The 23678-nt window shown below is 47.0% G+C and overlaps 1 protein-coding gene across 1 annotated transcript, besides 2 other annotated features; it reads right to left on the reverse strand.

Moving 5' to 3' along the window:
• Positions 1-7550: 7550 nt before the first annotated feature.
• On the reverse strand, positions 7551-18483 carry CENPV (centromere protein V). Its single transcript, NM_181716.3, has 5 exons — positions 18041-18483; positions 14945-15043; positions 13630-13699; positions 9611-9725; positions 7551-7955 (listed from the first exon to the last, which is right to left on the reverse strand). The coding sequence occupies exons 1-5, from the start codon at positions 18448-18450 to the stop codon at positions 7831-7833; spliced, it is 819 nt and encodes a 272-aa protein (NP_859067.2). The 5' UTR covers positions 18451-18483; the 3' UTR covers positions 7551-7830.
• Positions 17873-18482: a silencer, noted in NCBI's record as "silent region_8217". NCBI's record gives its function as "represses an Ori minimal core promoter by ATAC-STARR-seq in GM12878 lymphoblastoid cells {active_cell/tissue: GM12878}" and the evidence as "EXISTENCE:reporter gene assay evidence [ECO:0000049][PMID:35858748]".
• Positions 18543-18692: a silencer, noted in NCBI's record as "silent region_8218". NCBI's record gives its function as "represses an Ori minimal core promoter by ATAC-STARR-seq in GM12878 lymphoblastoid cells {active_cell/tissue: GM12878}" and the evidence as "EXISTENCE:reporter gene assay evidence [ECO:0000049][PMID:35858748]".

Here is a 23678-nt window from a genome sequence, read left to right on the forward strand (position 1 = left end):
GCACTTTGGGAGGCTGAGGCAGGCGGCTCACGAGGTCAAGAGTTCGAGACAGCCTGGCCAACATGATGAAACCACGTCTCTACTAAGAATACAAAAATTAGCCAGGCATGGTGGCGCGTGCCTGTAATCCCAGCTACTCGGGAGGCTGAGGCAGGAGACTCGCTTGAACCCGGGAGGCAGAAGTTGCAGTGAGCCTAGTTTGCACCACTGTACTCCAGCCTGGGCAACAGAGCAAGACTCTGTCTCAAAAAAAAAAAAACAGCAACGATCCCATGCAAAAGGACGACAAATAGCATAAGACAGCTAAGGATAAACCGAACCCTACAGCGTGCTGTTCATACTGTTTCCATAAAGAGAACAGCATAAAACTTGAAGAGTGGGAAAGAACAAACCCATTGGTGAGCCATATTACCTTCCTGGATGATAAAGCAGTACTGTACAGAAGTCTGTTCTCCCTGAATTAATTTATAAATGCAATATAATTGCAACCAAAATCCAAACATGCTTTGATTGCATGATACTTGACTCACTAATTCTAAAATTCATCTGCAGGACACAGTGCACAAAAACAGAATAATATGGCCAGGCACCGTGGCTCACGCCTGTAATCCCAGCACTTTGGGAGGCCTGAGGCTGACGGATCACCTGAGGTTGGGAATTCAAGACCAGCCTGGCCAACATGGTGAAAACCCGTCTCTACTAAAATATAAAAATTAGCTGCGCATGGTGGACACACCTGTAATCCCAGCTACTCAGGAGGCCGAGGCAGGAGAATCGCTTGAACCTGGGAGGCGGAGGTTGCAGTGAGCCAAGGTCGCACCACTGCACTCCAGCCTGGGCGGCAGAGTGAGACTCCTTCCCCACCCCCCACCCCACAAAAAAAGTGTAATATGGCAGGATTTACCCTATTAGATTGTTTAAGGCACATTATAAAGCTTGGGGATTTAAAATAATTTGTTATTTGTGGAACTACAAAAAAATAGATGAAAAGAACAAATAAGAGTCCTTAAAAACCCTGATTAGTATATGTAACATTTTAAATAAATGAAGAATGGATGGATTCATCAATAAAGTGTTGAGCCACCAGTTATCCAATTTGAGGATACCATTCACAAAATTTAGAGGAAGAAAAAAAAAACCCACACACAAATCCAGGTAGATCAAAGAACTATATGTTTAAAAAACAAATAGCCGGGCGTGGTGGCTCACACCTGTAATCCCAGCACTTTGGGAGGCTGAGGTGGGTGGATCACAAGGTCAGGAGTTTGAGACCAGCCTGGCCAGCGTGGTGAAACCCCGTCTCTACTAAAAATACAAAAAATTAGCCGGGCATGGTGGCATGTGCCTGTAGTCCCACCTACTCAGGAGGCTGAGGCAGGAGAATTGCTTGAATCCAGCAGGTGGAGGTTACAGTGAGCTGAGATCGCACCACTGCACTCTAGACTGGGTGATAGAGCGAGACTCCATCTTAAACAAACAAACAAAACCAATAAACAAACAAAAGTCAGTAAAAGTAGTAGAAGAAAATACAAGTAAATATGTTTATAAGCTTGGGTAAGGAAGAATTTTTTTTTTTTTTTTTTTTGAGACAGAGTCTTGTTCTGTCTCCTAGGCTGGAGTCCAGTGGCTTGATCACAGCTCACTGCAGCCTTGAATTCCTTGGCTCAAGCTATCATCCCACCTCAGCCTCCTGCATAGCTAGGACTCAGGCATGTGCCATGCTAAGCTAATTTTTTATTTATTTTTAAAATTAATTAATTTTTTTTTTTTTGGGACAGAGTTTCACTCTTGTTGCCCAGGCTGCAGTGCAATGGTGCAATCTTGGCTCGCCGCACCCTCTGCCTCCTGGGTTCAAGCGATTCTCCTGCCTCAGCCTCCCAAGTAGCTGTGATTACAGGTATGCACCACCATGCTAGGCTAATTTTGTATTTTTAGTAGAGATGGGGTTTCTCCGTGTTGGTCAGGCTGGTCTCGAACTCCCGACCTCAAGTGATCCACCCGCCTCAGCTTCCCAAAGTGCTGGGATTACAGGCGTGAGCCATTGCGCTGCTAAGCTAATTTTTTTTTTTTTTTTTTGAGACGGAGTCTCACTCTGTTGCCCAGGCTGGAGTGCAGTGGCAGGATCTCGGCTCACTGCAAGCTCCACTTCCTGGGTTCACGCCATTCTCCTGCCTCAGCTTCCCTAGTGGATGGGACTACAGGAGACCGCCACCACTCCCGGCTAATTTTTTTGTATTTTTAGTAGAGACAGGGTTTCGCCATGTTAGCCAGGATGGTCTCAATCTCCTGACTTCATGATCCGCCCTCCTCGGCCTCCCAAAGTGCTGGGATTACAGGCGTGAGCCACCACGCCCGGCCCTGCTAAGCTAATTTTTAAAATTTTTTTGCAAATATGAGGTCTCCCTGTGTTGCCCAGTTTGGTCTCAAACTCCTGGCCTCAAGTGGTCTTCCTCATTTGGCCTCCTAAAGTGCTGGGATTACAGGTGTGAGCCACCACGCCTAGTCCCAGAAAGATATTCTCAAAAAAGAAATAAATCACAGCCGGCTGCGGTGGCTCACGCCTGTAATCCCAGCACTTTGGGAGGCCAAGGCGGGCGGATCGCAAGGTCAGGAATTCAAGACCAGCCTGACCAACATGGTGAAACCCTGTTTCTACTAAAAATACAAAAATTAGCTGGGCGTGGTGGCGCACGCCTGTAATCACAGCTACTCAGGAGGCTGAGGCAGGAGAATCGTTTGAACCCGGGAGGCAGAGGTTGCAATGAGCCGAGATCATGCCATTGCCCTCCAGCCTGGGCAACAGAGACCGACTCCATCTCAAAAAAAAAAAAAAAAAAAAAAAGAAGAAGAAGAAGAAGAAAAAAGAAATAAATAAATCACAAAAAACCCAGAAAACCCAAGTCAGAGAGCCACTAAGACAAAAGAAAAAAAAAAAAAAAGACTAATGAATTTGACTCCATCAAAAATTAAAACTCAGCCAGGTGTGGTGGCTCATGCCTGTAGTCCCAGCACTTTGAGAGGCCGAGGTGGGTGGATCATGAGTTCAGGAGTTGGAGACCAGCCTGGCCAACGTAGTAAAACCCCGTCTCTACCAAAAATACAAAAAAATTAGCTGGGCGTGGTGGTGGGTGCTTGTAATCCCAGCTACTTGGGAGGCTGAGGCAGGAGAATTGCTTGAACTAGGGAGGCAGAGGTTTCAGTGAGCCAAGTCACGCCATTTTACTCCAGCCTGGGCAACAAGAGCGAAACTCCATCTCAAAAAAAAAAAAAAAAACCCAAAAAAACAAATGCATATCTTTCAGCTCAGCAATCCCACTTCTCTATTCTCAAATAATACACATATGTATGTATAAAGAGGTGTGTACAAGAATGTTCACTGTCAACACTCTTGGTAATAGCAAAAAACTGTAAACAATCATAATTTCCGTGAAAAAAAGAATAGCTAAATAAACTACACCCACACTATGCTGTTCTATGCAACAGTTAATAATGAGGATATGTATATTGATATGAAAAGATCAAGATGTAATTAAATAAAGAAATGCAACCGAATGCAGTGGCTCCCACCTATAATCCCAGCACTTAGGGAGGCCAAGGCAGGAGGCTCACTTGAGGCCAGGAGTTTGAGAGCAGCCTGGGCAACATAGCATGACCCCATCTCTACAAAAAATTTTAAAAAATTAGCCAGGGGGTGGCACACACCTGTAGGCTGTGGTAGGACTGCTTGAAGTAAGGAGTTCAAGGTTACAGTGAGCTGTGATCACATATCCCTAAAAAAAATAATTTTTTTTTTAAGACGGAGTCTTGCTCTGTCACCCAGGCTGTAGTGCAATGGTGCGATCACAGCTCACTGCAGCCTCAACTTCCCGGGCTCAGGTGATCCTCCCACCTCAGCCTCCTGAGTAACTGGGACTACAGGTGAGCACCAACACACCCAGCTAATTTTTTTTACTTTTTATTTACTTATTTATTTATTTATTTATTTATTTTTTGAGACGGAGTCTTGCTGTCACCCAGGCTGGATTGCAATGGCACACAATCTTGACTTACTGCAACCACCGCTTCCCAGGTTCAAGCAATTCTCTTGCCTCAGCCTCCTTAGTAGCTGGGATTAAAGGTGTACACAACCATGCCCGGCTAATTTTTGTATTTTTAGTAGAGATGGGGTTTCGCCACGTTGGCCAGGCTGGGCTCAGACTCCTGATCTCAGGTGATCCACCTGCCTTGGCCTCCCAAAGTGCTGGGATTACAGGCATGAGCTACCGCGCCCAGCCTGATTTTTTGTATTTTTAGTAGAGACAGGGTTTTGCCATGTTCTCCCAAAGTACCGGAATTACAGGTGTGAGCCACCGTGCTTGGCCCCTGTATAATTTTAAAATTAAAAAAAATTAAAAATACCTGGAGTTCTGGCCTCGAAAATCCCATCCTTGTGCGTGCTGCTTCCAGTCTTGAAGAGTGAACCTGGCCATCAGTGATTCTGAAGAGACAGTGACCACATAGAACCCAGCACAGCAAACTGAGAAACTGCCATTTTTATTGTATTTTATTGTTTCCTGTAGAGATGGGGGGGTCTCACTACATTGCCCAGTCTGGTCTTGAACTCTAGGGCTTAAGCAATCCTCCTGCCTCAGCCTTCCATAGTGCTGTATTACAGGTGTGAGCCACCATGCCTGGCCTGGCCATCTGTATTTTTTTTGTTTGTTTGTTTTTTGTTTTTGAGACAGAGTCTCACTCTGTCTTCCAGGCTGGAGTGCAGTGGCATCATCTCAGCTTACTGCAACCTCTGCCTCCTGGGCTCAAGCCATTCTCCTGCCTCAGCCTCCTGAGTAGCTGGGATTACAGATGCCCAACACCACGCCCAGCTAATTTTTGTATTTTTAGTAGAGACGAGGTTTCACCATGTTGGCCAGGCTGGTCTTGAACTCCTGACCTCAGGTGATCCACCGGTCTTGGCCTCCCAGAGTGCTGGGATTACAGGTGTGAGCCACCACACTCGGCATTTTTTTTTAATTTTTTTTTTTTTTCCTCAGAGACCTTTGTTCTGAGATCTTTATTCCCTCTCCCTGTTCTTTTTCCTTGTCTAGTCTACCTCACAAATCATTTCATGAGTAATTTCCCTAAAGCAAAGAGCAAATATTTATTAAGCATTTGCCATTATTTGTACTCAGTATTTGGTAATGGCAGGAATGTTTGAGGAAAGCTAATATGTTAGTAATATGGAGCAATGTGAAGTTAAGAAGAGAGGGAGATGGCAACCAATCAGAAGACTATATGAGGCCAGGCTTTATTCATCCTGTTCAGAGGTGGTCACAGCTTCCCAATGCCTGCAAAATAAAGGCCAAATTCCTGAGCCTAATATCCAAGACCATCCAGTCTATCCTCAACATACCTTTCTGATATCTTCATTACTTCTTCCCATTAAAAGCCTCCAATTCAGCCAATTTTTTTTTTTTTTTTTTTTTTTTGAGATGGGGTCTTGCTGTGTCTCCCAGGGTGGAATGCATGACACCATCATAGCTCACTGCAGTCTCAAAACTCCTGGGCTCATGTGGCCCTCAGCTTCCTAAGTAGCTGCAACTACAGGTGTGCACCACCACATGCAGCTTCAGCCTGGCTTTTGCATGTGTGCGTACCTGTTCAGTTACTTCTCCTGTCTCCTTAAACCTTGCTTCCTTTATTGATTGATTGATTGAATGATTGATTGAGACGGAGTTTTGCTCTTGTTGCCCAGGCTGGAGTGCAATGGCACGAACTCGGCTCACTGCAACCTCTGCCTCCCGGGTTCAAGCAATTCTGCCTCAGCCTCCCGAGTAGCTGGGATTACAGGCGCCCGCCACCATGCCCAACTAATTTTTGTATTTTTAGTAGAGACAGGGTTTCACCACATTGGCCAGGCTGGTCTTGAACTCCAGATCTCAGGCCATCCACCAGCCTCGGCCTCCCAAAGTGCTGGGATTACAGGCGTGAGACACCATGCCCAGCTGAAATCTTGCTTCCTTTAAAAATAGGATCAAAGTTGTTGTTTCATGGGTACAGAGTTTCAGTTTTGCAAGGTGAAGAGTTCTGGAGATGGATGGCAATGATGGCTACACAACAATGTGAATGTACTTAACACTGCTGAATTGTACACTTAAAAATGGTTAAGGCCAAGTGCAGTGGCTCATGCCTGTAATCACAACACTTTGAGAGGCCGAGGCAGGAGGACTGCTTGAGCCCAGGAGTTTGAGACCAGCCGGGGCAACATGGAGTGACCTTGTCTTTACAAAAAATATTAGCCGGATGTGGTGGCACACACCTGTAGTCCCAGCTACTCCAGAAGCTAAGAGGGGGGAGATCTCAAGTCTAAGTCAAGGTTACAGTGAGCCATGTTCATGTATTGCACTGCAGCCTAGGTGACCGAGCAAGACAGTCTCAAAATAACTAAAGAGAGAGATTCTGTCTCTAAATAAATTAACAGTTTATGGTAAATTTTATGTGTATTTTACAACTGAAAAAGAAATTAGAAGCTGATTTAACTTTTTAAAGATAGACTCAAATCGTACTCTCCTCAAGGCTTCCCTGAGTTCTCTCCTTTGAACTCTTAGAGCTCTTATTATCTTTACAGCTCACATGGATTGTAACCATTCACAATTTTTTTTTTTTTTTTTTTTTTTGAGACAGAGTCTTTTTCTGTCAGCCAGGCTGGAGTGCAGTGGCGCAATCTTGGCTCACTGCAACCTCTGCCTCCTGGATTCAAGCAATTATCCTGCCTCAGCCTCCTGAGTAGCTGGGATTACAGGCGCCCGCCACCACGCCTGGCTAATTTTTGCATTTTTAGTAGAAACAGGGTTTCACCATGTTGGCCAGGCTGGTCTCAAACACCTGATCTCAGGTGATCCACCTGCCTTGGCCTCCCAAAGTGCTGGAATTACAGGCGTGAGCCACAGTGCCCAGCCTTTTTTTTTTTTTTTGTAGATGGAGTCTCGCTCCATCACCCAGGCTGGAGTGCAGTGGTGCAATCTCCACTCACTGCAACCTCTGCCTCCTGGGTTCAAGTGATTCTCCTGCCTCAGCTTCACAAGTAGCTGGGACTACAGGCACATGCCACCATGCCCAGCTAATTTTTGTAATTTTAGTAGAGACGGGGTCTCAACACATTGGCCAGGCTGGTCTTGAACTCCTGACCTCAAGTAATCCACCCGCCTCAGCCTCCCAAAGTGCTGGGATTACAGGTGTGAGCCACCATGCCCTGCCACAATCTTCCATTTTTAATAATTGTTTATCTTATGTCTTCTTTCCAATTTAGCTACACATTTTTTTCTTTTTTCTTATTTTTTTTTTGAGACAGTCTCATTCTGCCACCCAGGCTGGAGTGCAGTAGCACGAACACAGCTCACTGCAGCCACAACCTCCTGGGCTCGATCAACCCTCCGGAGTAGCTGGAACTACAGGCTTAAGCCACAATGCCTGGTGGCAAACATCTTGATAGTGCTGAGTATATATCTGCTATTAATCGACTGGCCTCAGAAGCAAATCACAGTACAAAAGAAATGATAAACCAAAGTGACTGCTTTAATGTTAAAAATATTTATTTTTTTTCCTAAAAGATCACACAAAAGTTGGGAAGAGAAGGATGTCAATTAGACTACATCAAAATCTGGGCAGAGGGAGGACAAAGAGCTGCCTAAAGAAACTGGTAGCTGGAGCAAACTGCAGAGATCAAGATGACCCTAGTCAACGGAACCAGCAGCCCAGGTCAGCCACATTCAGGAGCACCACCGAGGCACGGCAGGGAGAGCAAAGTTGCTGGCCCCAATCATTCCTCCTTTTCAGGGCAGGAGAGGCAGAAGCTCACTCTTTAGACATGTTCTTGATGGTCTTGTGCTCTTTCATGGCCTTCTCCCAATCGCTGCCATTGAATTCCTCAGTGACCATACTCCGCACAGTGCCCTCATCCAGGCAGTGGGGGGCAATTCCTACGAGAAAGTGGCACAGACAAAGGGGGATCCTCAGTATGGGTGAGACCAGATGGTGTACCGGCTCCTGGATAAGCCCCCACCTGCAGGCATCATCACGCTACACATTAGGGCTTCCAAAGGATATGCCACAGCTTATGGCTTCAGTGATGAGACCCACAGGCTGCCAGCTGGCTCGGAAAGCACTGGCTCCAGCCTACCGCTTCAGCCCTCTGACTCACTTTCCTCAACTGCCAGATGGGAATCACACTCCCTGAGCCAGGTTTGGCCAAGGCTAGACAACATTCAATACCAAGTTGAGAGTACAACATGCAGAAAGGCACAGCCCAGAGCAATCTCTGACTGGCAGCCTGAAGAATTCACAGGCCTTTCCTGTGTTTAGATAGATAACTTTCTTTCCTTTTTTTTCAGATGGAGTTTAGCTCTTGTTGCCCAGGCTGGAGTACAATGGCGTGATCTTGACTCACTGCAACCTCTGCCTTACGGGTTCAAGTGATTCTCCTGCCTCAGCCTCCCAAGTAGCTGGGAATACAGGCGTGCGCCACCAAGCCTGGCTAATTTTGCATTTTTAGTAAAGATGGGGTTTCTCCATGTTGGTTAGGCTGGTCTCGAACTCCCGACCTCAGGTGAGCCACCATGCCTGGCCTCAGATAGATAACTTTCTAAGAATTAAATGTCTTCCCATTTGCACAGGATTTCATACTTTTCAACTCTTTCCTGTTCTGCAAGGTAGACAGGAAGGAGTCTCCATGTGACAGATGAGGAACAGGAGGCCCTGAAGCAATGGGGGAGCGGTAAGGATGACATCCTGCCCTGCCCTGCCTCCCCCACCTCCCCTGTCCGCTCCCCACCACCATAAGGCAAAAGACACTGACAGTCATAGCTGCTCTCGCAGCTCTGGAGGCTGCACTGACACAACAAGAGTCCTCAGAACATCTTCCACCTCTGCTTTCCCCTTCAATTCACACTATAGTTGGTATGATTCTCAACAACTGTCAGAGGGTTAGTTTTATTACTCCCCAGACCCAAGCAGGCCCTGAAGCGGGGCTTGGAGGGTTCCCTGCTTGTTTATTATTTTTTAAAAAGAACAGAGATACGGTTTTGCTATGTTTCCCAGGCTGGTCTCAAACTCCTGAGCTCAAGAAATCCTCCCACCTTGGCCTCCCAAAGTGCTGGGATACAGGTGTGAGCCACCGCAGCCAGCCAGTCCTGCCTAATTTTTGAACAACCAAAAAGCTTTCAAATGCCATTATCAATGCTCCCCAATCTTGCCTCCTTCACTCCCTTAACCCCTGTCATTATTAAAGCTGCCTCCCCTGGCCCCACAAGCCCATCTCCTCACCCCTCTCCTCCCTACCCTTCAACACCATCCCCAGCAACACCAGCTCTACCAGCACCAGTGAATAAGAATCACAACCTGGATGGGCTCCAAGTCCAACTTCACCACATTCAGATATGGGATTCAGAAAAGTTTCACCGGAGCCCGACTCACATTCTATCATGTGGAAAGCGCTCTGCTGAGGAGCCCTGTTCCTCTAAGATACGCATGTGACAGGGTCTAGTCAGCATCCCACCTGTCCAAATAAGACTTTAAATGAGAGCACCATGGGCCTCTCTGTGTCCCCCTGAGCTTGCAGTCCATCCCCTTTACTCACCGAAGCCTCCGGGGTTTGATCGTGGAGTATAGAAGCTCTGAACGCCACATCTCTTACAGAAGGTATGCTGGGCTTTGTGAGTATTGAACGTGTAAGTCGTTATGTGCTCAGCTCCCTAGGTGAAAACAGACAAACGGTATTCTTTTTTACAAAGAGATTTATTTATTTAATTTATTTATTTATTTATTTATTGAGACAGAGTCTCCCACTGTCTCTCAGGCTGGAGTGCAGTGGCGCAATCTTGGCTCACTGCAACCTCCACCTGCATGGGTTCAAGAGATTTTCCTGCCTCAGCCTCCCAAGTAGCTGGGATTATAGGCGCGTGCCCCCATGCCCAGCTAATTTTTTGTATTTTTAGTACAGACAGGGTTTCACCATGTTGGCCAGGTTGGTCTCGAACTCCTGACCTCATGATTCACCCACCTTGGCCTCCCAAAGTGCTGGGATTACAGGTGTGAGCCACTGCGCCTGGCCCCAAAGACATTTATTTTTATGTCACTTAAAAAATACACCTTTGTAGCCGGGTGTGGTGGCAGGCGCCTGTAGTCCCAGCTACTCGGGAGGCTGAGGCAGGAGAATGGCATGAACCTGGAAGGCCGAGCTTGCAGTGAGCCGAGATCATGCCACGGCACTCCAGCCTGGGCAACAGAGCGAGACTCCGTCTCAAAAAAAAAAAAAAAAAAAACACCTTTGGCCAGGCATGGTGGCTCATGCCTGTAATCCCAACACTTTGAGGCCGAGGCAGGCGGATTGCTTGAGCCCAGGAGTTCAAGACCAACCTGGGCAACATGGCAAAACCCTGTTTCTACAAAAAAATATAAAAATTAGCCAGGTGCAGTGGCACACATCTGTAGTCCCAGCTACCTGGGAGGCTGAGGTAGGAGCATCAGTTGAGCCTGGGGAAGTAGAGGCTGCAGTGGGCTGAGATCGCACCATTAAAAAAAAAAATCTTGAAATAACTTAATGGCAGGAGCTCTTCTGTAGGGCTCTTTGTACTAAGAGGCCATTTCCTATCTCCAGAAGAGACTGGGACCTTCTTGAGGACAGAGACCCATCTACACTATCCAGAGACATGTCAGTCTGGAGCGTGACAGCTCACAGCTTCCCTTAGGTCAACGGCATACAGAATTCAGCCTTGAGCCTTCCCTGATACATCACATCAGGGAGGGAAAGTGCTTGCTTCCCAGGGCCTATGTGGAGAGACAGTTCACCCAAGGGACTGGCTCTCCATGTCCCCAAACAGAACGGCTCAAGGTCTTAAGAAAACTGATGGCTGTGCTTAATTTATCCACAAAGGACAAACCAGGAAAAAAATATTTGCCAGACGTCATAGACAGGCTAATTTCCTTAATGGATAATACAAACGGGAGACTGGACAAAGGACATGAACGGACAGTTCAGATAGAAAGAAAAATAAATCACTCTTTAGCCTATGAAATGCTCACCAAAGGAACTTCAATGAGATGTATTTCACTGTCAGGTGGGCAAAATCAAAGCCGTTAACATGGTATTGACAAGTATGTAGAGAAATATGTGCTCACATATATCAGTCACAGGAACAGGAATTGGTACAATTTAGCAACATCTACCAAAATTTTAAAGTGTACATATGCTTTAGCACACAATTCCATTTCTTGAAATTTATTATACAGATATATTCCAAATGTCTCAATGACATAGGTATATAGATACTATAGCACTGTTTATGAAGGCTAAAGATTGGAAAAATTGAAAATGTCCCTCAATAGAGGACCGGTTAGGCATTATGGACACTCATAAAATGAAATATTCTCCAACTTTTGAGAAGAATGAGACAGCTCTACAAAACTAACATGGAACAATTGCCAAAGTTACAAAGTAAAGCAAGGTATAGGCCAGGCGCAGTGGCTCACGCCTGTAATCCCAGCACTTTGGGAGGCCAAGGTGGGCAGATCACTTGAGGTCAGGAGTTCAAGACCAGCCTGGCCAACATGGTGAAACCCTGTCTGTACTAAAAATGTAAAAATTAGCCAGATGTGGTGGCGGGCACCTGTAGTCCCAGCTACTCAGGAGGCTGAAGCAGGAGAATCACTTGAGCCTGGGAGGCGGAGGTTACAGTGAGCCGAGATCACACCACTGCACTCCAGCCTGGGCAACAGAGTGAGACTGTCTCAAAAAAAAAGTTAAGCAAGGTATAAAACAACGTACGTGGTATGCTACCATTTCTTTTTTTTTTTTTAAGGCTATATACTGGTATGTGTGGTGTTTTTGTTTTGTTTTGTTTTGTTTTTTTGAGACAAGATCTCACTCTGTTATCCAGGCTGGAGTGCAGTGGTATGACGACAGCTTACTGCAGCCTTGACCTCCCAGGATCAAGTGATTCTCCCACCTCAGCCTCCCGAGTACCTGGGACTATAGGCATGCAACACCACACCTAGCCGATTTTTTATTTTTTGTAGACATGGGGGTCTCGCTATGTTGTCCAGGCTGGTGTTGAACTCCTGGGCTCAAGTGATCTGCCTGCCTTGGCCTTCCAAAGTGCTGGGACTACAGGCATGAGCTACTGTGCCTGGCCTGTATGTGCTTTTATATGCATATGTATCTTTGAAGAGGGATCCAAGAAACAGTGGCTTACCTTTAGGGAGAGAAATCAGACAGCTGAAGGGGAAGGGGTGGAGGTTTCTTATCCTTGTTAACCCTCTTTACGCTTCCCCAGCCATACCGTCCAGAATTGTGCTTCCTATAGAAATAGCTCCCTGAGGAGCCTTGCTCACTCCATAGCCACTGCAGCACAGAAAAGCAGCGAAGGACTGCCAAGTGGTCCCAAGCCATCCAGCATTATCTGGATGGAATTAAAGCCCCGCCCAACCCCACATTACCCATAATGTGCTAAAAGTCTTTTTTAAAAAATCTGTATTCTTTAACCTGGAGATTTTCTTTCTCTCTTTTTTTTTAACTGCTCCTTGTAGAGCAGGGTGTAGGAAGTGTGCCCAGAATAGCCAGAGAACTTATTTCTAAGAGAATTGATCCTAAAGAAGAAATTTCTAAATTGTCAAAAATGTATACCAAGGAGGTTCACCAGTGTTGTTGATAATCAGAAAAAAACGGGACTCAACTGCAATGATGCAGAGACAGTGATGGGGTAAGTAGACCAGGAAATCGGCTGTGGGGAAGAGGGAGACTGGGGCATGGGGACAGTAGGGAAAGATTTTTCACTGTGTATATACACATTTTCTTCTACCTTTCAAATTTTGTACCAAGTACAAAAAATTCCCCAAAATAATAAAATTAAAGTTACAAATAAGTATATAAGCTTTTCATTGGGAAATGAGATAAGCAGTTTATCAACAAAAAGAATGGTAAAATTCTACTTAATAAACATAAGACAATAGGTTTAGATGTATTTCTCAGAGTAGAAAATAATACACAAAGACAGACACCAAAATATTAACAGTGGTTACCTTTAGTTGACAGGATTTGGGTGATTTTATTGTTTTTTGATTCTCTGAATTTGAAAATGTTTCCACAATACCAAATAGGCCTCCAAAAAATAAAGGTAAAAAATAACACAACCTTTTATTTTTTATTTTCATTTTTTTTGAGATGGAGTTTCACTCGTCACCCAGGCTGGAGTGCAATGGTGTGATCTCGGCTCACTGCAACCTCCACCTCCCAGGTTCAAGTGATTCTCCTGCCTTGGCCTCCCAAGTAGCTGGGATTACAGGCATGCACTACAACGCCCAGCTAATTTTTGTATTTTTAGTAGAGATAGGGTTTCACCATGTTGGCCAGGCTGGTCCTCAACTCCTGACTTCAGGTGATCCATCCATCTTGGCCTCCCAAAGTGCTGGGATTACAGGCGTGAGCCACTGTGCCGGGCCCACCTTTTAAATGTCAACCTGAAACCAAAGCCCGTGAGAGGCCCTGCTATGCTCCAGGCCCCTCCCATGCTACAGACGGCATGCTAACAGTTGGGTGGGGGGTCCTGTAAATCTCACCAATGGGTTCTGCACTCCTTGACCCTGCTCTTAAGCACTGACCTTCAGGAGCTTGAAGCGAGAAGCTGGAACAATGAAGTGTCTATTCTGCTTCTTCTTGCAAATGCTGCAACTACAGAAAGACAGAGCAAATTCCAGATTGTGAGCAGCCACCTGCATCCTCTATGCCTGAGCGGCCCAGCCATGAGAGCCAGCCGACCCCACAGATGATGCCCCTTTCAGCACCATCCAGGGCCGAGGAGCTGGGGCAAAGGCCTGGATAGCAGTGCCTCTGGTTTGCAGGTACAGCAGAGCCCAGGGGGGTCCCAAGTCAGCAGTCGAGGTTCTGCAATGCTCAGAACACAGGACCAACAGACAGGTCTGTACTGCCCACCCCTCAGTTCTTTACAGTGAAGAGAAGCGCTGGACTTCAGAGACACTTAGGAAACAAATTTCAGACACTGCTACAACCTGATGTCTCTGAGACATCCACACCAAAAATGGACAAGGAAGTTTAGGTTTCCCTCTTTCTTCATCACCACGTCACAAGAAGTCCAGCTCCAAGTAAAACACGTCCCCAGAATTACCATCTCTGGAATTAAACTGAAGTCCCCTCTTTTCAGGCCACCTTTGAAAAAGTTCTAATTTAGCACAGAATCCTCTCACAAGTTATTCCACAGTGCTTCTTTTCCAATCTGGACTCTATTGTTAGTAGCCTGGTCAGTTCTCCATTTGAGTAATTCCATCGTATGTGCTTATTATTCATATATAATTCCGGTACCTAGGGGCAAAAAGGACTGGATGCTGTTAAATAATTAGCTGCATGCCAACTTTGGGTCCCAAAGCCAGAGCCTGTCGTCCCTGCTCCATCATAACGCCGGGGAAGGTGGTACAAATCAGGCCCTCCACAGCCAGCAGTGCCATCTGCCTCAACCGAAGAGCAGAGCGAGAGTGGAGGGCCTGGGGAGCCTCCAGGTGTATACACCCTTTACTAACATACCCTCCAACTCTCCCCAACTCTAGACTTCTATGAAGATTCTGCCCAAGGCTTTCCACTCAGTACCCAGCCAGGCACACCTGCAGCTAACCGCCCCCGGCTCCTCAGCAGTGTCAGTCTGAGGGTGATGCTGCCACAAGCCACAAGCCCTGAGGACCCTGCTCTGTGTCACCTGGGCCATGCTGTTGAAGCTCTGTGATGAGCCATATAAAAGGAACAAAAATAGAACAATGAACCTTTCTGTCCCCATCACCTGACTTCAACAGTTACCAGCCCAAGGCCAATGTTTCCTCTGTACCCCAACTCCCCAGATTATTTTGAAATATTGCATTTTAACTCTGAAATTCTTTTAAGCCAATTTAGGGAAAAAAAAATACTCACTTGCAGTCAAATATATGCAAGTCTGCTGAGGCCCAAACTTCAAAACGAACTGCTCCACAGTGGCAGCCTCCTGTGTGCTTCACCAGGCCCTGGTATTCACTAAATGAAACAAAAATCAGAAAGATAATAATTTCTGAATAGCTGCCTCCTGCTCTCTTTTTGTTGCTGAAAGAAAGACAGAAGATTAGACAAAAGTCTTTTCTACATGACAACCAGATGCATTTCTGCTTTTAAGGAGGCACTGTCAATTTCCTAAGTGAAGAATGGTTTCAGCACCTTCTTTGTCCATGAGCTCTCTTTTCACCAATTTCTTAAATTATATTAAGTTGCAAAATAAAACATTCCAAACATTTCGAAAATGTGAGGGATCCTAACCCACCACCAGACATTTTTATTTATATGTCAAATACTAAATTTTTTTTTTTTTTTTTGAGATGGAGTCTCAGTCTATTGCCCAGGCTGGAGTACGGTGGCACGATCTTGGCTCACTGCAACCTCTGCCACCTGGGTTGAAGCAATTCTCCAGCCTTAGCCTCCCAAGTAGCTGGGATTACAGGCGCCTGCCACCGCGCCCTGCTAATTTTGTATTTTTAGTAGAGATAGGGCTTCACCATCTTGGCCAAGCTGGTCTTGAACTCCTGACCTTGTGATCCACCCACGGGGACTCCCAAAGTGCTGGGATTACAGGCGTGAGCCACTGCTCCGGGCCTCAAATACTAAATATTTTTATGAGCTAGGCACGAAGGAGAGAACACTAAACAAGATACAGCAGACACGATTGCTACCCTTACCGACCTTAACAATTTACTCAAATAATAATTAATTATGATTGTGATAAAGGAGGTACAGGCTGCTATGAAAAATAAGACTGTGTACTCAATCAAGTCCAGAGGTCCAGAAGAGCCTTTTGAGAAACTTAATAAAGGCTCTTATATTTTTGCTCTATTTCTTTCCAGTATTCTTCATACACATGCGTTTTACATAGTTGTAATACACATTACATAGAATTTTTTTTTTTTGAGAGGGAGTTTCATTCTTGTTGCCCAGGCTGGAGTGCAGTGACGCGATTTCAGCCCACCGCAACCTCCACCTCCAGGGTTCAAATGATTCTCCTGCCTCAGCCTCCCGAGTAGCTGGGATTACAGGCGCCCACCACCACACCCAGCTAATTTTGTATTTTTAGTAGAGACGGGGTTTCTCCATGTTGGTCAGGCAGTCTCAAACTCCCCACCTCAGGTGATCCACCCGCCTCGGCCTCCCAAAGTGCTGGGATTACAGGCATGAGCCACCTCACCCAGCCTACATACAATTTTAACCCTTTAAAGCTTATATATAAGCCAAACTCAGAAATGAACATTAAGATCTGATAAATGTCTTAAAATCGCTTTCCAAAAGGATTGAACACCCTTACCCGATAAATAAATGAGAAAACATTTCACTGTACAGTCTCAGGCAATAATTATAGGAAAAATAGCTCACTGCAGTTTTAATTTGCATGATTAAGACTGATCATTTTTTCATGTTTCTTTACGTTTATGTATTTTAATTTTTTCTGCACACATAATGCTTATTGTAAAAACTCCAAACTTCACACTATTTGAGAGTGCTCAAAGTGAAAGCCTCCTGTAATCTTTACACCCAGAGGGATCTACAGTTAATTATTTGTTATATATTCCCCCAAACTTTTTTCTACACAATATTTTAACGAAAATGGTACAGTTATACACACTTTTTGAATATAATTTAGTAGACTTTATAAGTACAAAGTCATGGCAATCTAGTGGGAGAAAAACAGCTTTTTTATGTCAATATTTTAAAACTTTTTCTTGACCATTTATCAGTTTGTCTTAAAATAAAAATTTATCTCAAATTTGAGTTTTACATTCTTCTTTTTTTCTGTATGCCTTGAAGACACCATGAGTTTTACATTCCTAAGGATCTTCGTATTCCTTCTGCCCAGAGGCAGCCGTCACCCTATAGGTGCTCAAATGTTTGATGGATGAACGTTTTTTAAAAATTCAGTGTGCAGTCCAAGATGAAAAACCAAAAAGTGAAGCACACAGAAAACCAAATATGTATCTTCTGTCGGGGACGACTCATCCTAAGAGAATTTCTTCCGCAAGAAGCTCAAAGGAACATGTTCAAGAAAAGAAGTAATTCTCAGGTTATGCAATTGCTAGGTTATTCTTGTCGGTTTTTTCCCCCTAGTGTTTTGATTGTTCTTTTTAATTCGTAAAATTGACACTGAAATATAATATCAGGGCGTTAAAATATCTCTCTGTAGCACAACTGTTCCCCGAGGCAGGAATCCAGATCGCATTTGGAGAAAAGAAGGCAGCCCTTTAACAGCCCAGTTAAAAGCTCTTTCCCAAATCGCGGACACTCGAGATGCTCCTCGGGCCATCTAAAAGACTGCGGAGCAGCCAGGAGGGCGAGCGGCAGGGAGCATTAGCTGGCTGAGCACATAAAAGCCTCCCTACGTAGGTATCCCCGCCGCCGCGCGAGGCCGGAGCATCTCTTCGCGCGCGCTTCTCTCCCGGATCAATAACCTCCGCCCCCTGCTCCCTCCCTGGCAGTGCCTGGAACAATGACGGGATTTTGCTTCCCAGTGAGTTCAAAACTATTCATGCTTCCTTCAACGCTTCTACCTTTCCCTTCCACCCACCCTCAAAAACACGTGTGCAAACACAAAAAAAAAGGGGATTCGGGTAAGAGAAAGCCGTGGGATTTATGTTCTTTTCACTAAGAAAGGCCCCCACACCCTTTGCGCGCCAGCAAGAGACAACGTCCCCGAGCACGATGCTTATGGCCGGGAAAGACTCTTTGTGTCCCAAGACGGCTGCGCGCGCCCTCAAGCTCCGGACGAAGCCCCCTTTCCATTCCCAGGCCACACAGCCCTAGAAGCACCGCCCCGCCCCGCCGCCCTTAGAATTAAGGAATAACCCCAGTGCTAACGGGGGAGCCGCGTCGGCTCCGTAACGTGGAAGGCTCAGAGCTGAAAGGCGCCCAAGGCCTGCACGCGGGCTGCGAGCCCGACTCCTGCCGAGGGGGTCCGCGTGGCAACGGCTCCCGCGCCCCCCGGCCCGCCGCACTCACAAGGTGTCTAGCAGGAGCTTGGCGGCACCCTCGGAGGTAAGCTTCTGCCGCTTCTGGAACGTCTCCCAGCGCTCCCGCTGCTCGCCCAGGTCCAGGTTGGACGCCGAGGACGTCGGGGTCGCGGGAGTCGGCGGCGGCGGCGGCGGTGGCGGGAGCAACGCCAGCTCAGGCGGCGGCGGCTCCCCCGGGCCCTCCTCCTGGGCCCGCGGCGACGAGCGCCTCAGCCGCGGCTTCTCCGACGGCGGCTTCTCCACCGCCTGGCTCTTGCTCCCGGCCTGGCTAGCGGAGCGCCGTGTGCGGGTGGCGCTGGGTGCCAAGGCAGCGGCCGCGGAGGCCGCGGGGGCCGCGGAGGCCCCGGACCGCTTCTGCCCGCGCAGCTTGGCGGCCGCAGAGCTCCTCGATCGCCGCATGGCTCCCGCAGCCTGGCGCGCAGGCCTCGCAGCGCGGCGCGCCCCCGCCGGCCTGCGCGCGCCCCCGCCGCCCGCCAGTCTTCAGGCCCAGGGGGCGCTGCGCCCGGCTGCCCCGCTCCGCCAGCCGCGCCCCGCAGCGCGGCGCCTGCCCGCAGGAGGGAGACCCGGCCCGCCCGGCCGCTGGGACGCACCTGCCTGTTCAGTCCCGCAGGCAGAGGGGCTGCGCCTGGGCCTACGCTCGCGATACCCAGAATCCACTCGCACCTGCGAAGGCGCCCCTGCCCTGTGTGAATCCAGCGGGCTCTTCGTACCTTCCCGACCTGGAGGGGCCTGGGTTGGGCCTGAATTCGCAGGCTCATCCGAGCGGGCAGCCTGGGGTAACTTCGTCTCCAAAAACGAGCTAATTTGTGTAAACGGCCTGCCACCTGCTACCTCCTGTGTAACAGCGGCCGAAACCATAGTTCTTCACCTTCGTCTTTTCTGTCACATTATAGAACAGTGTCATGAGGATACCAATAGTCAACAGATTTGGGGTTTCATTTTAATTAAATGAATGACCCGCGCGTCGAATTTCATTAGTATGATTTTGATGAAGGCAGCACCAAAGTTTAAAGACAAAAGGCACGAGAATCGTTGATGGAACCCAGATAGTCTTCTTCTCCTTCTCCTTCTTCTTCTTTTTTCAGACCGAGTTTCGCTCTTGTTGCCCAGGCTGGAGTGCAGTGACGCGATCTCGCCTCACCGCAACCTCCGCCTCCCAGGTTCAAGCGATTCTCCTGCCTCAGCCTCCTGAGTAGCTGGGATTACAGGCATTCGCCACCACACCCGGCTAATTTTGTATTTTTAGTAGAGACGGGGTTTCACCATGTTGGTCAGGCTGGTGCCGAATACTCCCGACCTCAGGTGATCCATCCGCCTCGGCCTCCCAAAGCGCTGGGATTACAGGCCTGAGCCACCGGGCCCAGCCTATCTTTCTTTTTTTTTTTTTTTTTTTTTTCTTTTTTGGAGTCTCACTCTGTCGCCAGGCTGGAGTGCAGTGGCGCGATCTCGGTTCACGCAACCTCCGCCTCACCGTTCCAGCGATTCTCCTGCGTCAGCCTATCTTTCTTCTTTATTCTGATTTTCTTCATGGTATTGTTAGTTTAATAGTTTATTGAATTAAAGGCATAGTTTAACTATTTTGTCTTTTTTTTTTTTTTTCCATACAGGATCTGACAGACTGGAGTGCAGTAGCGGGATCTCGGCTCAGTGTAGCCAAGAACTCCTGGCCTCAAGCGATCCTGCCGCCTGGGCCTCTGGAGTAGCTGAGTAGCTGGAACAACAGGCGGCGCCCCCCCCCCCCCCCCCCCGCCCCAGCGAATTGTTGCTATTGTTGTTTTGTAGATACCGGGTTTCCCTATGTTGCCCAGGCTGGTCTCTAACTCCTGGCCTCAAGCGATCCTCCCGCCTAGTTCTCCCCAAGTGTTGGGATTACAGGCGTGAGCCACCGAGCCCCACCTTGCCATTTTGTCGTTGTTGTTGTTGGAATTATGGTTTACACACAGCAACGTGCAAATATCTTAGATGTACAGCTTATGTGACCACCACCACTTCAGATACAGAACATTTTCAGCACACCAGAGTTTCCCTCAGGCAAAAGAAAACAGAGGCGATCACTGTTCTTTTACCACCATAGGTTGGTTTTGCTTATTCTTGAACATCATTTTAAAACGGCACGTAGGCCGGGCGCAGTGGCTCATGCCTAATCCCAACACTATTGGGAGGCCGAGGTGCTCAGATCGCTTGAGCCCAGGAGTTTGAGACCAGGAGGTGGAAGCTGCGGTGAGCTGTGATTACACCACCATATTCTACTCTGGGTGACAGAGTGAGACCTTGTCTCAAAAAAAAAAAAAAAAAAAAAAAGCTGGGTGTGGGGAGTGGTTATCCTTGAGGAGAACTAACTGGGAAAGAGAACAAAGGACTCTTCTAAGATGCTGGATATGGCCAGGCACAGTGGCTCATGCCTGTAATCCCAGCACTTTGGGAGGCGGAGGTGGGCAGGAGTTTGAAACCAGCCTGGCCAACATGGGGAAACCCTGTCTCTACTAGAAATACAAAAACTAGCTGGGCATGCTGGCAGGCACCTGTAATCCCAGCTACTCGGGAGGCTGAGACAGGAGAATCGCTTGAATTCAGGAGGTGGCGGTTGTAGTGAGCCGGAGGTTGCACCATTGCACTCCAACCTGGGCAACAGAGTAAGACTCCGTCTCAAAGAAAAAAAAAGATACTGGATATGTTCTCTACATTATCTTGATCTGGGTGGTAGTTATGGAGGTGTGTAAAACACATAAAAACACTTCAGTGTGTGTAAGACTTAGCTCAATTTAAAAATGAAGAACATGGCTGGGCATGGTGGCTCACGCCTGTAATCCCAGCACTTTGGGAGGCCAAGGTGCCGGATCACCTGAGGTCAAGAGTTTGAGACCAGCCTGACCAACGTGGAGAAACCTCATCTCTAATAAAAATACAAAATTAGCCAGGCGTGGTAGCACATGCCTGTAATCCCAGCTATTCAGGAGGCTGAGGCAGGAGAATCACTTGAACCCGGGAGGTGGAGGTTGCAGTGAGCTGAGATCGGCCATTGCACTCCAGCCTGGGCAACAAGAACAAAACTCTGTATCAAAAAAAAAAAAAAAAAAAAAGAAGAAGAAGAACAACAACATAAGTTAGGCTATTATTTTAAAGACATTATATCATTAAGTAGGTTTGAGGTGAAGAAAATAATTGAATAGTTATTGCAAACCCAAAACTCAAGAACGCAATTAAAAAGGCATGTGCTGGCTGGGCACAGTGGCTCATGCCTGTAATCCCAGCACTTTGGGAGGCCAAGGAGGGCAGATCACTGAGGTCAGGAGTTCGAGACCACCTTGGCCAACATGGTGAAACCCCGTCTCTACTAAAATTACAAAAAATAGCTGGGCATGGTTGTGGGCGCCTGTAATCCCAGCTACTCGGGAGGCTGAGGGAGGAGAATCGCTTGAACCTGGGAAGTGGAGGTTGCAGTGAGATTGCACTCCAGCCTGAAACAAAACTCCATCTCAAAAAAAAAAAAAAAAGAGGCCGGGCGTGGTGACTCACGCCTGTAATCCCAGCACTTTGGGAGGCCGAGACGGGTGGATTACTTTAAGTCAAGAGTTCGAGACCACCCTGGCCAACATGATGAAACCCCATCTCTACTTAAAACATACAAAAAATTAGTCGGGCATGATGGTGCGCGCCTATAGTCCCAGCTACTCAGGAGGCTGAGACAGGAGAATCGCTTGAACATGGGAGGCGGAGGTTGCAGTGAGCCAAGATTGTGCCACTGCACTCCAGTCTGGGCGACAGAGGGAGACTCGATCTCAGAACGATCAAACAAACAAAAAAGGCATGTGCTCGGAACAGTCTGACTCTGGGAATGAAGTTGAGTTGATTTAATCATGGCATTGGAAAATCAAGGAGTAACTAGAATAAGATGAAAATTATTCATTAGGCTAACTCTCAGAAGACTAGAAGTGAAAAACTGAAAATTAAAGGAATGAGGTTAAGGCTATCAAATTGGAGGAAGTGAGGGATTTTCTTAGAAATATGATTGATATAGCATATTACATCAGGCTTTTCTGTAGAAATTAACAGCCAATTCTATACTTTATGTGGATATGCACATGACTTAGAAGGGCCAAAACAATCTTGAAGAAGAACAAATTTGGAGGACTTGATGTATCTGATTTCAGAACTAAGGAAATAAGCTAAGTAGTTTAAACAAAGTGGAACTGGTCTAAGGATAGGTAAGCAGATCACTGGAACAGAATGGAGGGTTGAGACATGGATCCACATGTAATGGATCACTTGATTTTTGTTGTTGTTGTTATTGTTGTTGTTGTTTTGAGATGGAGTTTCGCTCTTGTTGCCCAGGCTGGAGTGCAATGGCGTGATCTCAGCTCACCACAACCTCTGCCTCCCGGATTTAAGCTATTCTCCTGCCTCAGCCTCCTGAGTAGCTGGGATTACAGGCATGCGCCACCATGCCCACCTAATTTTGTATTTTTAGTAGAGACAGGATTTCTCCATGTTGGTCAGGCTGGTCTCAAACCCCCAACCTCAGATGATCTGCCCGCCTCGGGCTCCCAAAGTGCTGGGATTACAGGCACGAGCCACTGCGCCCAGCGATCACTTGATTTTTGTTTTTGTATTTGTTTTTGTTTTTTGAGATGGTGTCTCACTCAGTCACCCAGGCTGGAGTGCAGTGGCATAATCTCGGCTCACTGCAACCTTTGCCTCCTGGATTCAAGCTATTCTCCTGCCTCAGCCTCTGAGTAGCTGGGATTACAGGCACCCGACACCATGCCCAGCTAATTTTTGTTTTTACTAGAGATGAGGTTTCTCCATGTTGCCCGGGCTGGTCTCAAACTCCTGGCCTCAAACTCCTGGCCTCAAGTGGTCCGCCTGCCTTGGCCTCCCAAAGTGCTGGGATTATAGATGTGAGCCGCCATGCCCAGCCAACACTTTTAAATGAAAATAATTAATAGGTGAACTTTTTAAAAATTCAATCTACTTTTTTTTTTTTTTTTTTTTTTTGAGATGGAGTTTCGCTCTTGTTGCCCAGGCTGGAGTGCAATGGCATGATCTCGGCTCACTGCAACCTCCACCTTCCGGGTTCAAGCAATTCTCCTGCCTCAGCCTCCCGAGTAGCTGGGATTAAAGGCGCATGCCACCACGCACAGCTAATTTTTGTATTTTTAGTAGAGACAGCCTTTCACCATGTTGTTCAGGCTGGTCTCGAGCTCCTGACTTCATGATCCACCCACCTCAGCCTCTCAAAATGCTGGGATTACAGATGTGAGCCACCACGCCCGGCCCTTATCTTTTTCTTTATATTGACTTGGAAAAGTTTTCTGTGTTCCCTTTTTGCCTTCTGTTGATTTGGAAATTCTATCATTTGTCTCTATAATGGTGGTGGTTTCCCTTCTCATATCTAGTAGTTATGATAAAACCTGTGTTCCTCTAGTAATGTTGCCAAATTGATCAACAAATATGTTTCCCAAAATATTTTATCCACTCACTCACTCCCCAACCTTCACCTAGAGGAAAATTTTGGAAATTGAGATTTTTAGTTCCTCACTTTCCCACTGAAAGTGGAAAAGTGCCCAGCCTCTCTGAAGTATACTTTCTTTTGAAGACTCCTTCATGAACATTTACACTTTCTATTT

Source organism: Homo sapiens, chromosome 17 (assembly GCF_000001405.40).
Source record: "Homo sapiens chromosome 17, GRCh38.p14 Primary Assembly".
NCBI classification, from domain to species: Eukaryota; Metazoa; Chordata; class Mammalia; order Primates; family Hominidae; genus Homo; species Homo sapiens.